This window comes from Homo sapiens, chromosome 5, assembly GCF_000001405.40.
Source record: "Homo sapiens chromosome 5, GRCh38.p14 Primary Assembly".
Taxonomy (NCBI): Eukaryota; Metazoa; Chordata; class Mammalia; order Primates; family Hominidae; genus Homo; species Homo sapiens.
Genome location: NC_000005.10, coordinates 102,233,746 through 102,252,759, shown reverse-complemented (window position 1 = coordinate 102,252,759; position 19,014 = coordinate 102,233,746). Strand labels below are relative to the sequence as shown.

Sequence of the window (19,014 nt, the reverse complement as noted above, 5' to 3'; positions counted from 1 at the left end):
AAATATGTAGACTAATGTGACCACCCCTTGATATTAAGGAATATAAGCTATATTTCTTTGTTAATACTATAATTTGCATCATGCTGTCTTATACTTTGTATGATCTCAGTAATTATTTATCAATAACATGAGAATTATATATTGGGAACTTTAAAAATTGCTGTGTAAAGGCTATTTCTAGAGTTGCAGGGATGGTTTTTCTCTGGTTGTCTTATTTCTGCATCTATGTTATGAGCTCTGTGAGCGGACACTCTGGTGATGGCTTTTGTGAATGTGATCAACCCTTGATATTATCATCATACTTGATAAAGATAAATCTGGCAGCATCTGTGGAATAGATTTGAATAAGATGAGACTGCAGGCAGAGTGGCAGATTACTATCTTGATCACTCTTTCCTTCAGACTCCCTACTGATTTAGTCATTTTTTTCTCTTTAATTTGTTTTCTTCATGACTTTCTTGTTCTCCGCCTACTTTGTATGTCATCATTTTCCAACACAGTGTCGGTTATCTTCTAATACTTACAGAAATCACTCATTTACTGTGTTTGACCCCTGATGCAAGGAAGTTAGCTTCATGGTGGCAGAGGTTTGCTTCTCCTCCTCCCTCCCTTCTTCCCTTCCTTTTCCTTCTTTCCCTTTCCTTATCTCTTTCCCTTCCCTTCCTCCCTTCTTCCCTTCCTTCTTTCCCCGTTTCCCTTCCTTCTCGCTTTTCTCCCTTCCTTCTTCCCTCTCCCTCCCTCTTTCTCCTTTTCTCCTTCACTCCCTCATTCCGTTCCTTCTATCCATTTCTCTCTCTCCCTCAATCTGTCATTTCTAGTTCTAACTCTAGCTCCTTCTTTCTTTTAAATATAATTCTACCACCTTGAGTAGTCTAGCACATAATTGGTGTCCATTGTGTCTTTATTAAATAAGTGGACTCCCAAGACTTCAGTACCCTTCTCATTCCATACACTATATGACTGATCTTATAAATGTTCGTGGTTTCAGCTACATCTATGTCCAAATGGTTATTAAGAAATCTAGCTCCATTCAAGATTTCTTCTCCACCAAATTGGAGATACTCTTAATCTTATTACTTACAATACCATACTCATCATTGTTCTCCTGTACCTAAACACCAGGTTAGATATTAGGAGTCACCTTTGACTCTTCCATTCTTTTTTTTTTTGGAAATGGGATCTCACTCTGTTGCCCAGGCTAGAGTGCAGTGGCACAATCATAACTCACTGCAGCCTCAAACTCCTGGGCTCAAGTGATTTTTCTGCCTAAGCCTCTTGAGTAGCCTCTTCCATTTTTAACAGGAAGAGTCATCTTCAACCAATCCATCACCAAATCTTACTGATTCTACATCCAAAAGTTTTCTTTAATCTGCTTCCTATCATCATATGTTCTATCTTAGCTCTCCTTTATATTGTCATCACCTACTGTCTAGGGTATTGTAACTGGTCCCCTTTCTTCAAATTCATACTCTGTACAACTCCTAGAATTACTTCTTTAAAACGAACTTTTGACAGTGTCACTTTCCATTCTAAAAATACCTTAACGATTACCTTTTGTCAGGCCCATGTGGCTCTCAATTAAACTGGTCCTTTACTCCTGTCCAGCTACATTTCCCATCACTCTGTGCCTCAGACATCATTCATATTTCTCCACAGAGGATGCTGTTTCTCTACCCTATGCCTTTGTACCAGCTTTTTCTGAAGTACGTTTCCCCTTCCCCATTTGACTGGCTTACTTGTACTCATTCTTTATATATTTTTTACGATTTTTTTTGTATGGAGTCTCACTCTGTTGCCCAGGCTGGAGTGCAGTGGCGCAATCTTGGCTCATTGAAACGTCTGCCTCGTGGGTTCAAGAGATTCTCCTGCCTCAGCCTCCCGAGAACTGGGACTACAGGTGCCTGCCACCATGCCCAGCTAATTTTTGTATTTTTAGTAGAGATGAGTTTCATCATGTTGGCCAGGCTGGTCTCAAATTCCTGACCTCAAGTGATCCACCCGCTTTGGCATCCCAAAGTGCTGGGATTACAGGTGTAAGCCACCGCACCAGCCTCTTACTCATTTTTTAAATCGCATCTCAGGCAGTAGCTCCTCCAGCCCCTTTTCTCTAAACTTTGGCTTGTGTTAGGTGTCCTTCCTTGGTGCTTCTAAAAGGCACTTTGCTGATATCTGTAACCACACTTAGCATATTACTGAATAATTATCTAAGTCCCTCTCTACTTCTAAACTGTGAAATCCTTGAGGGCAGAGACTGTCTTATTCGGCTTTGTATTCCCGTTACCCAGCATAGGGTCTAGCAGTTGCTCAATATATGTTGTTTGAATGAATAAATAAATGAGGTATAAGGGATGCATTTTTGATTAGTGTAACCCTTTATATTAGGGAAGATGTTTTCTCTAAGAGGCAGCTTGCAATGACACTGAGCCTGGGGACTGGGAAAATTATATTTGGTAAGGAAAGAAAAGTAACTTAATCTCCCTGGACCTCAGTTTTCCCATTGATGAGATGATTATGTTCAACAGCATGATTTTGTTCATCCTTCCAAGTTTAAAATATTGTCTGCATCCTGGACATATTTGGCACTGTATGGAGATATTTTGGTTGCTGTAATGAAGGAGAGTGCTACTGGTATCTGGTGGAAGTCAGAGAAGCTGCTAAACATTCTATAGTCCATAGAACCAACCCCACAAGAGAATTACCTGGTGCCAGATGGGAAACTCTTGTCTTCTTCACTTATTCTGCCTTTTATTTTAAATTACTGACAGATACTATACTATATGACTATTGTTTTTATTGCCTCTCTCCGACAAGAAGTTAAACTTTATGTGCAAAGGAAGACGTTTTATTTGTTTAGTAATTATGTGTTGAGTGAGTGAATAAATGACCTAATGGTAAGATATAACAGTGCTTCGAAATTGTTAGTTAAAAGTTATGACAGATCATTTACCCTTCTTTCATTTCTTATTTACAGGACTGGAGAATTGGGAAACTTGATAGCCCCTTGTAATGCCAATTGTAACTGTTCGCGATCATATTATTATCCTGTCTGTGGAGATGGAGTCCAATATTTTTCTCCCTGCTTTGCAGGCTGTTCAAACCCAGTTGCACACAGGAAGCCAAAGGTAGCTTATGTCTCCTACTTTTCCCTTAATGAGGCAATATGTTTGTGGATTATCTTGACTTCTCTAATGGGGTTATGCAATGCCTATTCTTGCCTTCCTGCTCCATTGCCTCCGTTAAGCAGCCCATGATGTCTCCAGCTGAAATAGATTCTTTTTCCTTCATGCCTCTTGCAGTTATTGTTGAAAAATCAATTTGGAAGTTACAAACATTTTAGTAACATCACTTTGTTGCAGTTATGAAATATCTTTTACCTTTTCAAATTGTTTTATAGTCATCCCTCACAATACATGGGGGATGGGTTCCCGGACCCCTGCATATACCCAAATATGCCATACTTAAGTCCTGCCGATGGCCTTGAAGAACTCGCTTTAAGTCAGCACCTCAGTATATATGGGTTTTGCATCCTGCGAATACTGTATTTTTGATCCATGTTTAGCTGAAAAAAAAAATCCGCATGTAAGTGGAGCAGTGCAGTTCAAACCTGTGTTGTTCAAGGGTCAATTTTATTTTTCCCTAACTATTTAAGATCTTTGAAGGCAAGAGAGTTTTCCTATTTTCACTAGGTACAGTTTATATAATAGAAACTTAGTATTTGTTTTATTTGATATACCATGAATACACTTAAAATATTCAAATCAATTTATTTTTAAATACAAATTCATATTTAATTCTGGATCTGAATACTAATCAGTGTGCCTAGATGTTATTTCTTTTCTGTACAGTTAAATAGTTTAAAAGAACTCAGTACAATTTTACTGTACTATATCTTAGAAACTAAATATTTCATCTTAGCTAAACTTAAGAACCTTGGAAATAAATAATATTCAGATTATGAGTAGTACGCAGTATAGTATGCATTGGTAGATAATGTGATAACTTTAAAAGGATCTAAGGGAAATATATACTGTGGTATAAAAGAAAACAATGAATAAGATGTGTAAGAGTTATATGACAATTTTGAATATTTGAATTTTTTTCTGTATATATGACCAATAAATGCTATTGACTAACTTTGATTAGAAGCAGATTATGACAAGGAGTTATTAGGAAGGGTTTTAGTCACATAACTAAATATATATAGACACAAATACCATCCTGCACAAGGGAACAACACAGAAAATCTAATACCCAGAGCATACTTAAAATAGTTTTTGTTATTTCGATATGGTTAATTTAATATTTATATTTTTCACCAAATGCTAAGATAATTACTATCTTACACAGCAAGTTGTCTTCTAGAATTTTTTAGGAAGAGCAAATGATTTTGACTTGCAAATTTTCTATTTGTCCTGACTTTTTTATGTCCAATCAGTCCATGAAATAATCAATTGATCCACAATATTTTTCTTATGAAATATTTCAGATAGGCAATATACATTTATAATACTTTTAATAAGCACCCATATACATTTGTTCACAGCAATACAGTTTTAATCTTATATTTCACACCAGTGACCCAAACTACAAAATCTGACCTTGACTAACTGCTATATTGCAGGCAAATGAGAGTGGTAAAGTTTCATTAGGATAGAAAATACTGTTCTCAGTTTCTCTCCTTAAAATTTTTAAAGGCTGAATTACCTCATTATTTGATATATCTGATTGCTGAATATGTAATAGTCAATTTTGGAGGTGTCATCTGCATATTTGGTTTTCCTGAATTGGTACCAGTGGTCTTAGAATGGCTTTAGCACCAAAAAAAAAAAAAAAAAAAAAAAAGTTTCTGGCCTTTGGAACAATGAAAGCACTGCTTCTCTTTGATTTCTCTGGCTCTGCTCTGATTCGTTGAGGCCTTAATGTCTAAAAAAGATTTATAGTAAGGATAAAGGATATGGAAGGATGGAGTTGAGATGTAAAATGACTTTAAGAAATAATTACTGTTGAAAGAAGTGTAGAATGTGCAAGGTCATGTAACTTATATTCCCATTAAATTGTTTTGTAAGTCAATAATCACTGTAGCAGGTTACAAACTGAAGTAATGGCCACAAAAGTCAAATACAGATAATTCCACATCATAAATATGGTTTGTTTCCACTTGCTTAATTTCTTAAGGGTTAAATATTCTCTCAGCATAATTTGTTGAATATGGATTAAGACAGTATGAGAGTGTTTGCCATGTCTAGAGAATACCTAATTTACAATAATTTATTTTCTAAATGATCACTTTCATTGTTTTTATGTCTAATATTTTTAGGTATATTACAACTGTTCCTGTATTGAAAGGAAAACAGAAATAACATCCACTGCAGAAACTTTTGGTTTTGAAGCTAAAGCTGGAAAATGTGAAACTCATTGTGCGAAACTGCCCATATTCCTTTGCATTTTCTTTATTGTAATTATTTTTACCTTTATGGCCGGTACTCCTATAACTGTGTCTATCCTAAGGTATGTAGCACGTTGAGAAATTTTCATTCCCTAAGGCAACATGTTGATGGAAAACAAATGGACTCGGGGTTCATTTGGGGTTCATATTGACCATTGGTTCAATACCAATCAGCCCTTACAAGATCATTAGTTCTGTGGCATTGGACAAGCTCCTCTGTAGAACCCCAGATGTAGGAGATTTAAATGATATGCAGGTGAAAGTGTCTTCACATTGCCTGCCTGGCTTGTGCTTGGTGTTTTCTCTGCTTCTTTCATGAAGCTTCAGGTGTGAGCTGGAGAAACGTTCAGTTTTGAGTATCATAGAAATAAAATGCATTCCAATATGCCAGAATCAGAATGGCATGCATTCTACCTTATGCATTAGGCACTGTGACGTTAAATCTTCCTTAAGCAGTGCTAATCAATAAGAAACTGGCTATTACCTGTGTTGTTCACCTGTGTTTTATGTTTCCAGTTGCTCTTCCTCCTTGTATCCCACTGCACAAACACATTCCATACTTGTACATTTCATACCTGTCCTTCCATAGAGTCATCAGTCTTTGTATATCTTTCCTAATGAATTATAGCTTTTTTCTTTTTTTGTTCCTTAGTATTTACTCACTACATTTTCTTTTTTTACTGTTTATTTAATTTTTATTTTAAGCTCAGGGGTACATGTGCAGTTTTGTTCTTTTTGCTTAGAGTAGCTTTGGCTTTTCTGCACTGAAGCCATTAGGTCCTGGGCTTTTCTTTACTGGGAGACATTTCCTTACAGCTTCAATCTTGCTACTTGTTATTGGTCTGTTCAGGCTTTGGATTTTTCTTGATTCCATCTTGGTAGGTTGTATGTATCTAGGAATTTGTCCATTTCTTCTTGATTTTCCAATTATTGGCATATTGTTGCTCATAGTAGCCACTCATGATCCTTTGAATTTCTACAGTATCACTTGTAATGTGTCTTTTTATTTCTGATTTTATTACTTTGCATCTTCTCCTTTTTTTCTTAGTCAGGCTAAAGGTTTGTCAATTTTGTTTAATTTTTCATTGATCATTGGTATTGTTTTCTTCATTTCAGTTTCATTCATTTCTCCTCAGATCATTATTTCCTTTCTTCTACTAATTTTAGGTTTGGTTTCTTCTTGTTTTTCTAATTCTTTAAGATGTATCATTAGATTATTTATTTGAAATTTTTCCTTTTTTTTGATGTATAGCTATAAACTTCCCTATTAGTACTTCTTTTGCTATATCCCATAGATTTTGGCATGTTGTTTTCATTATCATTTGTTTCAATAAATTTTTCAATTTTCTTCTTAATTTCTTTATTGACCCACTAGTCATTCAGGAGTATATTGTTTAATTTCTATATATTTGTATAGTTTCCAAAATTCCTCTTATTAATTTCTTGTTTTAGTCCATTGTGGTCAGGGAAGATGACTGATATTATTTCAGTTACTTTGAATGTTTTAAGACTTGTTTTGTAACCTAACGTATGGTCAGTCATTGAGAATGATCCATGTGCTGACGAAAAGAGTGTGTATTCTGCAGCTATTGGATGCAATGTTCTGTAAATATCTATTAGATCCATTTGGTCTATAGTACAGATTAAGTCTGATGTTTCTTTCTTGATATTCTATCTGGAAAATCTGTCCAATGCAAAGCATGGGGTGTTGAAGTCTCCAGCTATTATTGTATCAAGGCCTGTCTCTCTCTTTAGCTCTACTAATATTTGCTTTGTATATCTGGGTGATTCAGTGTTGGCTACATATATATTTAAAATTGTTATATCCTCTTGCTGAATTCACCCCTTGATCATTATATAGTGACTTTCTTTGTCTCTTCTTATAGCTTTTGTCTTGAAATCTATTTTTTCTAGGTATAGTGACTCCTATTCTCTTTCAGTTTCCATTGGCATGGAATGTGTTTTTCCATTTCTTTATTTTCAGTCTATGTGTGTCTTTATAGGTGAAGTGTCTTGCTTGTTGGCAACAGGTCAATGGATCTTGTTTTATCATCCATTCAACCAGGCTGTGTTTTCTGATTAGAGAGTTTAGTTCTTTTAGATTCAGTGTTATTGATAAAACAAACAAGTAAAAAGAAAACTAATAAAAACTCTACACCTTAACTTTGTCCCCTGGCTTTTTATTCTTTTGTTGTTTCTATGTATATCTTATTGTACTATGTCTTGAAAAGTTGTTGTAGTTACTATTTTTTATTGGTTCATCATTTAACCTTTCTACTTAGGATAAGGGTAGTTTACACACCACAGTTCCAGTGTTAGAATAGTCTGTGTTTTTCTTTGTACTTATCATTACCAGTGAGTTTTGTACCTTCAGGTGATTACTTACTGCTCATTAATGTTCTTTTTCTGATTGAAGTACACCCTTTAGCATTTCTTATAGGACAGGCCTGGCATTGATGAAATCCCTCAGCTTTTGTTTGGGAAAGTCTTTACTTCTCCTTCATGTTTGAAGGATATTTTAACCAGATATACTATTCTAAGGTAAGAGTTTTGTTCCTTCAGCATTTTAAATATGACTTGCCACTCTCTCCTGGCCTATGAGGTTTCCACTGAAAAGTCTGCTGCCAGATGTATTGAGGCTCCACTGTATGTTATTTGTTTCTTTTCTCTTGCTAGTTTTATGATCTTTTCTTTATCCTTGATGTTTGAGAGTTTGATTATTAAATGCCTTGAGGTAGTCTTCTTTGGGTTAAATCTGCTTAGTCTTCTATAACCTTCTCGTACTTGGATATTGATATCTTTCTCTAGGTTTGGGAAGTTCTCTGTTATTATCTTTTTGAATAGACTTTCTTACCCATCTTTTTCTCTACCTCTTCTTTATGACCAATAACTCTTAGATTTTCCGTTTTGAGGCTATTTTCTAGATGCTGTAGGCATGCTTCATTGTTTTTTATTCTTTTTTCTTTTGTCTCCTATGACTGTATATTTTCAAAAAGCTTGTTTTCAGTCTCACTAATTCTTTATTCTGTTTTATCAGTTCTGCTACTAAAGGACTCTGATGCATTATTCAATACGCCAATTGCATTTTTCAGCTCCAGAATTTCCACTTGATTCTTTTTTTGTTTTGAGATGGAGTCTCGCTCTGTTGCCCAGGCTGGAGAGCAGTGGCCATGATCTTGGCTCACTGCAACCTCTGCCTCCCAAGTTCAAGTGATTCTCCTGCCTCAGCCTCCCGAGTAGCTGGGATGACAGACGTGCACCACCATGCCCAGCTAATTTTTGTATTTTTGGTAGAGACAGGGTTTCACTATGTTGGCCAGGCTGAGTCTCAAACTCCTGACCTCAAGTGATACATCTGCCTCAGCCTCTCAAAGTGCTGGGAATTGCAGGTGTGAACCACCATGCCTGGCCAATATTATTTCAGTCTTTTTGTAAAATATATCTGATAGAATTCTGAATTCCTTCTCTGTGTTTTTTGAATTTATTTGAGTTTCCTCAGCACAGCTATTTTAAATTCTCTGTCTGAAACGTCACATATTTCTGTTTCTCAGATTGGTCTCTGGTGCCATGAGCTCATTTGGTGAGTTCATGTTTTCCTAGATGGTGTTGATACTAGTAGATGTTCTTCAGCATCTAGGTATTTAAGAGTTAAGTATTTATTATAGTCTTCATTGTCTGGGTTTATTTGTAGCCATCCTTCTTGGGATGGCTTTCCACATATTTGAAAGGACTTGGGTGTTCTAATTTTAGTTGTATCTGCTTTAAGGGGCACCCGAAGGCCAGTAATGCTGTGGTTTTTGCAGTCTCTCTCCCTCTGTTCTGAGCCACCTAAAGCTGAAGGTGGAGTGATGCAAACACCTCTGTGGCCACCACCACTGTGATTGCACTGGGTCGTACCTGAAGCCAGCACAGTTTTGGGTCTTTTCCAAGGTCTTTTGTAACTACTCCATGGTTACTAGTTCTGTTTGCTTAAGGACCTGGGGCCCTACAATCAGCAAGTGGGAAAGCCAGCCACGCTTGTGTCCTTCGCTTGGGTGGGGAGGTCCTACAGGCACTGGTGGGTCTAGAAGTGCCACCCAGAAGTCAGGGACTAGAGTCAAAAACCTTAGAAGTCTACCTGGTCTATTGTATTGCGGCTAAGCTGGCATGGAAACCACACAGTGTAGTCCTTTCCACTCTTCTTTCCCCTTTGCAAAGGCAGAGAAGCTTCACCCCATAGGCCCCTCCAACCCAGGCCACGAGGAGTACTGCCAGACTACCACCAATGTTCCTTTATGGCCCACTGCCTCTTTAAGTCAGCTTGTCATGAATGCTGGCTGGGCTGGGACTCACCCTTCAGGGCAGAGAGCTCCCTGCTGGCCCAGGACAGGTCCAGAAATGTCAAAGAGTCAAGTTCTGGAATTGGGGACTCCAATAACCTGCTTGGTGCTCTACCCCCCGGGGCAGTGATGGTACCTAAAGCGTAAGACAAAGTCCCCTTTACTTTTCCCTCTGCTTTTCTGAAGCAGAACGAGTTTTGCCCCGTAGCCACCAAGCTGGTAATGTGCTGAGTCTTATCAGAAGCCAGCAAGTCTCAGAGTTCTCACCCAACGCCCTCAATGTAGTATCTGGGTATTGGTGCTGGTTATTCAGGCCCAAGGGCTCTTCATGACTTAAAAGTATATGAACGCTGTCAGGACTGGTGTATTTCCTTCAAGGCAGCAAGCACCCTTCTGGCCCAAAATGTGTCTAGAAATATTTTCTGGGACCTAAGGCCTGAAATGGGAGGGCCTCACAACTCTGACTGGTGCTCTGTCCTCCTGTAGCTGAGTTGGTATCCTAGATGCAAGACAAAATCCTCCCCACTCTTCCCTCTCTTCTCCTCAAGTGGCAGGAAGGGGTTCTTTTGGAACCTGGAGCTGTGCAGCCTGGGGATTAGTGGAGGAGTAATACCAGGACTCCATTGTCTGTCCCAGCTGTTGTCTCAGTATGTCACGTGTGCCTCCAGTCCACTGTCTTTGAGCCTAATTCAGCACTAAGACTTGCCCAAGAGTTGCAGTCCCTATGGCCTAGACTGCCTTTCAAGTTAACTTGGAGACACAGTGCTGTAGCCCTTGGTGGTGAGTTGTTTTGTAAGCACTCAAGTTTGGACTGCTGCATAGGAGATTAACCTCTGGCCAGGGCTGGTTTAAATACTCCCTCTGTGGGCAGGTGTCAGGTAAGTTGGTCTGGTTTTCCTTTCTGCTCTAACAGGACAGCAGTGATTTTATTGCCTCACAATTGCTCTATTCTCCCTCCCCACCCCAAGAGATTCTCTCTGTATTACACTGCCACTGCCTGGGTTGGGAGGTGTGGTGTCTGAGATTCAGGACTGTTTTTTTTTAATCTCTTCAGTGCCTCTTTCAGGAATATAAAGTTCAAACCAGGTATTATAAGTGCTCACCTGACTTTTGATTCTTGTTAAAGTGTTGTGTTTTTTTTTCTGTGTAGATAATTATTAACTTGGAGCTTTTCAGTCTATCATCTTGTTCCACCCTCTGGCTGTTTTAGCTATTCTGGATTTTTTGTCATTCCATATGAATTTTAGGATTGTTTTTTCAATTTCTGTGAAAGATGCTCTTGGAATTTTGATGGAAATTACACTGAATTCTGTAGATCACTTGATGTAGGATAAATATTTTAAAATATTTATTCCTCCAATTCATAAACAAGGGATAGCTTTCCATTTATTTGTGGCTTCTTCAATTTCTTTCATCAGTGTTTTATAGCTTTCAGTGTACAAGTATTTTACCTCTTTGGTTAACTTTATTCCTAAGTATTTTTTTTTCAATGCTATTGTAAATTTTGTTGTTTACTTGATTTCTTTTGTTCATTGTTGGTGTATAGAAGTGCAGCTGATTTTTGTATTATGATTTTGTATGCTAAAACTTTACTAAATTCATCTGCTAGTTGTAGTGCTTTTTTGGCAGGATCTTTAGTGTTTTCTACATATATGACCATGTCATCTTCACAGAGATAATCTTACCTTTTACTTCCCAATTTGGATACCTTTTATTTTTCTTGCCTACTTACTCTGGATAGGACTTTTAGTACTATGCCGAATAGAATTCATGAGAGTGGGCATCCTTGTCCTGTTCTTCATCTTAGAGGAAAGGCTTTCAGGTATTCACCATTGAGTATGATGTTAGCTGTGGATTTGTTATATTTGGGCTCTATTATATTGAGGTACACTCCTTCTATACATAATTTATTGATGACTTTTATGGAAAATATGTCTTGTTAATGAATACCCTTTCTCTTTACATTTATTAAAATTAATAAAGACTAGTGACTCTTTGGTGTTATTTGCAATATTTTAGGTCAGATAACATTTTTCTTCTTTTATAATCCCAGGAAGATTAAACCATTTATAAGCTCTTACAAATGCATTATTTTGCGTTTACAACATTTACTTTAATATAGGAATGCTAAACTCTTATAAATGTGAACTTGCTCAAAGAGTGAATATACTATACCACCTTTTTTGGTCTCATATATATTTAATATTTCCAGGTGTGTTAATCACAGACAACGGTCCCTAGCCTTGGGAATACAATTTATGGTCCTTCGATTATTAGGTATGCCATTTTTCTTTATTCATTGCTAACTGTTGGCTATTTTGGTTCATTAGTGTTATTTATTTTTTAATTTATGGCCTGTGGCAAAAAAAATTATAGTGGAAGGCTACATCATTCTTGTTGAAGGAAGCCATTTTCCAATGTTTCAGATATAGGATTATTTACTTATTGCATACTTTTAACCTACCTGACTGGTTACCTGTTCCAACTATGTTGCTAATAAAATCTTAAAAGGTGTGTCATGTCTATTTCAAATATAAAATATGATCATCAACACATAATTTCTTTTCTCTCTGCTTTTGTCTCTATTCGTGACACTATTGTGTTACACTAGCAATTAAAAATGATGTTAAAATGTTTCAACAGCAACTGTGGTATGGATATTGTGACTAGTTAAGAATTATTGGAAGAAAGAATTTGTACCAGAGAATTTTATAAAGTTCCAGGTACAGGACAAATTACAAGAAAGACAGACATAGTAAACATAATATTAAGATTATTTATTAAAGCAAAAACAAAAAGTTGGGGCATTAGAGATCACCTCGTCCAACTTGCCAATTTTTTCAGATGAGTAAATTAAGTCCCTGAGAAGTGCAGGGTTTTGCCCATAGTTACACAACTAGTGATAGAAATGAAAGTAGGAAAATGATTCCTAACTCTGAGTCTAGTACTCTGACTTGTATCATGCTACAGGTCATGAAAGAACAGACTGGATGTAGCTGAAATCTTTGTCTAAAAATTACAACCTCAAATAATTGGAAGTTTCTTAACTATATGGAAGTTGAGTACCTCATGGCCTCTTGGAAATGGTGGCGGGTATATAAGATAGTGATATTCCTAGATATGGTATTATAAGACTATATATTTGTATATACATACACTAATACATACAGAGGCCCATGTTAGTTTATATACACATGCACACCCACATAGATACAACATATACTATAGTTCAGCAGATTTATTTGTGCATCATGAATAATTTATTTTGATTTTTAACAAGTATAATAGCTAATTTCAAAGGCATATTTATTCATTATATTAGAAAAGTGGTGAATTAAAATATTAACTTTTAGCCCAATATATATTGGATATTTCTATTGAAATACTTTTTTGAATTGATTAGAAATACATAGTAATTACATATAATTATTTTAGAATATTGTATCTGCTTTATATTTCTTTGACTTGTACATGAATTAATTTGCATGTGGACAGATGAATACTTATTTTTATTTCTATAAAATATATGTATGATCATGTATAAAAAGATCTGTAATTCTAAACTGTAATCTTTACTGTTGTATATTTCACCCATAATTCTTTTAGGGACAATTCCTGGACCAATTATATTTGGTTTCACAATAGACAGCACATGTATTCTTTGGGATATAAATGATTGTGGAATTAAAGGAGCTTGCTGGATTTATGATAACATCAAGATGGCCCATATGCTAGTAGCCATAAGTAAGTGGTGACTTCTTGATAATTTTAGAGTAAACTAAGGATGTAAAAAAAAAAAAATCTCATTGTTGGTTACTTAGGGTCACAGGTATTTTGAAATGTTCAGTCCACATTGTTGAACCATCCAGTAGTCTTCCTGAAGCAGAGAACATTTATCACAGCATGTTATGAAAGGCTTTGAACAGATGGAGTTTGCAAGGCTCAGTACTAAATACAAGAAAATAAAATTCTAGCTTTCATTACATCATACAGTATATACTTTTCTTTTAATAACTTATCTCAAACATTTTTGGAAAGTATACTCGAAAGCTAAAAGAGAATTCTGAGAAACTCCCTGGAATGATTGTCATCTAGGTATCTAGGTGTTGCAAACACATATGGCTCAGGCAGGGAAGTATCCTTTGTCTCCAAGGCACGTTGTAAGGAACATTTTTATAGTTTAGAAGGTTAGCTGTGATGTTTAATTCTTTTTGCCTTTTGCAGTTTGTAATGTCTTGGTTAAGCAATGAATGAAATTTAAGGCAAGATTAAGATTAAGTAAAACAATGTATCTAGTTTACACTAGTAAAATAAAAGTTGAAATTTAAAAATTTAAAATTTGAATAATAACCTAGGAAACTAAAATAGCTTAGAGAAATCCTGAATGTATGTATACATATGTATCTAATATAATGTGTGATTTTCATTGTGATTATTTTGACACAGGTTGATCAAGATAGGCTATTATTACTCTTACATGCATGTAAATCCAGAGTATGCTTTCTGAGTTGATAGAGATAGAGTAATAGAATATTTGCTGAAGAAATAATCTATAAATTCTTATAGCACTTGGGGAGTAAGTATTGACAAGTATAGGCAAAATTAATCATCCCATTACTTTACCTGTTGTTAAAAACCATTTTTTATTCAATTTTTAAAATTATATATTTTTACCACAATCATGGCTACATACAATGTTTTTATGTTTAAAATTTATTTAATTCATTTTGTTTGTACTTTTTGGTCAAAGATATAGATAGAACAAATCATTCATTTTCCTAGTCAATGATGAATGGGAATCCCCCCACAAAATATATAAAACCTTAAAATTTTCAGAATGAAACAAATAAAAAAAGTTGTAAGTTGTACCTATGTAACTAATCATTCTATAGTCTAGTAATGCCTAGATGAATGAGCATTCCTGTTTTTCAAATACATGTTTTTAAACAAAATATTAATAATCAACAAAAAGAAACCAGCTACTGCAAGAACTATACTGTGAGACCACGTTGAATTTATTAGGCTGGCAATTATTAAATGCTTATACTGTGGTTGGAACTAGTTTCTCTTCATATAACTGAACTTAAAATCAGATTTACTTGGAAATAAATCAAAGTTTGTGAAGTGAATCTTAATGTTTATTTTTAGCTGATAAGAAGAGTAGATTTGGTTAAGTATTGAGTGTGATATCCTCCCACAGAGGCTTTAAGAACTCCAAAACCTTTTTAATTTTTAGAATTATTTTCTGTCCTGGAAGGGAATGTTCTTCAATTTATTCAGGTTCAAGAATGTTACAAACTACTTTCCCTCATTATTGACTTTTGGTTGCTTGCAATTTTTTATAGATATCATATTGTGTTAACGAATTTATTTATTTATTTTTGAGACGGGGTTTCTGTCTGTCACCCAGGCTGGAGTGCAGTGGTGTGATCTCAGCTCACTGCAACCTCCACCTCTAGGGGTGAAGCGATCCTCTCACGTCAGCATCCCAAGTAGCTGGGACTGCAGGCTGTACCATCCATCATACCTGAATATATTTTGCACTTTTTTTTTTTGGTAGAGACAGGGTTTCCTATGGTGCCCAGCCTGGTCTCGAACTCTTGGACTCAAGACATCCACCTCTCTCAGCTTCCCAAAGTACTGGGATTATGGGCTTGTGTTAACAAATCTAGATGGTGGCCCAATTCCTATTTAGTTCTATACAACACTTATTTTACAAGAATGCACAAGCATAACCAAGAATAAGTTAATTATTGTGCTCTATTACAGCTTAGAAAGAAAATAAGTACTAGTGACTTGAATTGTATACAAATGTTTTTTCTTTCCCCTTAATGTTTCAAAAATTTTAAACATAGAACTATAATGGTTATGTAATTATTCTCTTTAAAAATGTTCTATTCATGAAGATTTTTCTCAGTGATAATTTTTATCATAATTAAAAACAAAAGCACATGATTAATTTTTTTTTTCACTTAGGTGTTACTTGTAAAGTTATCACCATGTTCTTCAATGGATTTGCAATCTTTTTGTATAAACCACCTCCATCAGCCACAGATGTGTCATTTCATAAAGAGAATGCAGTTGTGACTAATGTTTTAGCAGAACAGGATCTCAACAAAATAGTAAAAGAAGGGTGAAATGGGAAAAGAGAAGACTGTTTTACACCTGGAAAATTTACCTCGATTTTTAAGAACACACATTGCCATGGCAGGATTATCTATCCAATATGGACAATCATATTTACAAAATTGATGTTTTTATAATCAAATGTATTTTTTTACTTATGTAGTTTTTGTTTTATGCAAGAAACAGACCTGTGCCTTCAAAGCCCACGTAAAGCCTCAAAACACAGCACACACACACACGAGCACACACACACACACACACACGAACACACACACACACACACACACGCACACATACACACTTATTTCCTATTCCCATTGTCTAGGTATGAAATCCTCAAGCAATAACAAGAAAAAAGGCCCACAATTAGAAAAATTTACATTTAAAAAAAATGTTGTTTCTATCCCCATTACAACTTGTTTAATTTTAATTTTCATTGTCAATATTTTGAGCTTAGAACATTTATGGTATAAAAATTTAAACTAATCAAAGTTGTGTGATGATTTCCGGGAATTATTATTGAAAGCCTATGAATTTAAAACCAGGTTTACCATGTAATTTGTTTTTAAATTTATGTATACTAGCCTGGCCTTTCTCCAAGCAAATTATTGAACTATTAGAATATGTTAGTTATCATCCTTGTGTCTTAGTATATAGTGAATACAGAAACATCAGCATTGTATACACATATTTTCACTTTAACTCAAGAATTCCAGGAGGTAATTTGTTGATATTACAATTTTTAACACATTTATGATTCTGTGATAATATTATTCAATTGCATATATTTCAGAGGAAAGTACCAGTCAGTAAAGAAAAATGCCAACTAAACATGAAACTATTGATCAATACTTATATACCTTTAATTTTTCCTATTTGAAAAGCCAACCACTTAACACATTACTCATAGCACCTAAGACAGTGCCTTGCATAGTGTAGTCATCTATTATTATTGTTTAATTAGAATATTAAACCCTACCCTTTAACTCAGCAGTCCCCAACCTTTTTTGCATCAGGGACCATTTTTGTGGAAGACAATTTTTCCATGGGGGAAGAAGGTATGGTTTTGAGATGAAACTGCTCCACCTCAGACCATCAGGCATTAGTTAGATTCTCATAAGGAGAGTGCAACCTAGATCCCTTGCATGTGCAGTTCCCAATGGAGTGTGCACTCCTATGAGAATCTAATGCCACTACTGATCTAACAAGAGGTGGAGCTCAGGCAGTAATGCTCACTCACCTGCCTCTCAGCTCACCAACTGTGTGGCCCGATTCCTAACAGGCCACACACAGCCCAGGGCTGGGGACCCCTGCTTTAACTGATGCATTGATTTGATAAAGTATTTTACAAGCCTGATAATGTTATAACCCTGTTTATTCAGGTCAGATTTATGCCAACTTTGCTGAGAATATGGAGGGTATAGATGAGTGAACATCAACAAACATAACTTCTACCATGGTTAAGAATTTTACTTAGGAAAAGTATTGAAGTTCAAATCCAGATAGTATTACATTTGAAATTGTTATAAGGGTTATTAATTTAATAAAATTCATCATCAGGTTTCCCCTATAAGCTTTCTCCTAGGTTAATTTTCCACAAGCATTGTTTTATATACACTGTAATCAGGATAACACAAGCTTAGTGTTAGATCTTGTAGGAAACCAAGATTAGAAACATTAGAAATTTGCAGAATTTAAGAAATTATGTTTTGTGGTAATCTATGGCCAACGATGTTAGAACCTAGCGCAATTGTAAAGTGAAATTCAAGGAGAAGGAATGAGGAGTTAGGGAAGCAGCATACTTGAATATTAGAGAAGGAGAGGAGCTGTGGGTCAGGAATCAGAGAGACCTGCTAAAACCAGACAGATATAAACACCAAAGACGGAAGCCAAATAGGTAGCCAAAAATCCAGATATTTGAGAAGCAGGAAATTTATAGCAACCAAAGAAATAGGGCAAGAGAGGCAGGTGAACACACATGATACCTCAATTGACAATCTTCCTCCCACCAAGCCAGACACGTTGTAAATGCTGCTTCCTATTGGAGCCCAGAAAAAAGGAAAAGGAAAGTTTAGGCTTTCTTTGTCCTTTGTGTGGAAGCAGGGAATTGGATTGAAGACTTTCATAGTTGTAACATAAAGGCAAATCCTGAGGAACTCACTGATGGAGATGTGAAATGGCAGTAAGGAAGAAAACAGAATAACTGAACAAATATATTAGTCTAGGGCCACTTAATTTAGAGGAAGAAAAAAAATCAACCCATCCATAGAAATAGTTTGATAAACAGGTCACTAAATCATTGGCGTTTATAAAGATTCTTAGCTATCAAGGGCTGCATTGTATTTTATATACTCAGTTTTATAAGGTGATACTTTTTAAATAAGCGCTTTAATGAAAATGGTTAGACTGAAAATAATTTTGGTCCTTAAAAGGAGTCAGGAGCTTTTATATATAAGGTACATATTTTAAAAGAATACCTCCTTTATAACAGGGTTTTACAGACACTACCATAATTTATAATCATTATTTTTTACTTTTGGGTTCACCTAGATCATATGAGTTGATGTGATACTTCTAGAACAAAATTATTCATAGTGCGTTTTTTGTAATTTATGATTGTTAAGTAAGCTTGACTTATAAATTGACATTGTAATTGTGTACATAATTGGATATATGTGTTAAAATTTAACATTTAGATTTACTTAATTGTAGAAAATACAAATGTAAAACTTACACATGGAAAGAACTGTATGCAGTTGACTTTACTATGTAAATTGGAGGGAAACAAAGTTTTAGATCCATTTTCTTTCAAAATTTTCTTTATTGTAAAGTATGCAAAATATATATTCATACCATTTATTAAATCAGAATGTTTATACAAAATTGTCGTGTTTGAGCTTATTAAATGACACAGGTTTGAAACTTGCCTTATCTCTGTGAACATAAGCATATTTTATGGATGGGAAAGGGAAATTAGTATGCTTTTGAACTTGGTGAATGTATTAATAATTTAATCCAGTGATTTCTTGTATCTCAACAGATGTTTTTAATTCAATACAAACCACATGTATTATGAAATATATATTAGGGAAATTCTCTTACACAAGTTTCTACATATGACAG

At 35.3% G+C, this 19,014-nt stretch overlaps 1 protein-coding gene across 4 annotated transcripts in view; it reads left to right on the top strand.

Moving 5' to 3' along the window:
• SLCO4C1 (solute carrier organic anion transporter family member 4C1) overlaps positions 1-18,774 on the top strand; it is a 62,299-nt gene extending 43,525 nt beyond the window's left edge. For all 4 annotated transcript variants that reach the window (XM_011543370.3, NM_180991.5, XM_047417146.1 and 1 more), the window contains 5 exons: positions 2,972-3,122; positions 5,318-5,508; positions 11,978-12,042; positions 13,372-13,509; positions 15,742-18,774. In XM_011543370.3, coding sequence (XP_011541672.1) covers positions 2,972-3,122; positions 5,318-5,508; positions 11,978-12,042; positions 13,372-13,509; positions 15,742-15,902 — 706 coding nt within the window. In that variant the 3' untranslated portion in view covers positions 15,903-18,774. The remainder of the gene's footprint in view (positions 1-2,971; positions 3,123-5,317; positions 5,509-11,977; positions 12,043-13,371; positions 13,510-15,741) is intronic.
• The last annotated feature ends 240 nt before the right edge of the window (positions 18,775-19,014 follow it).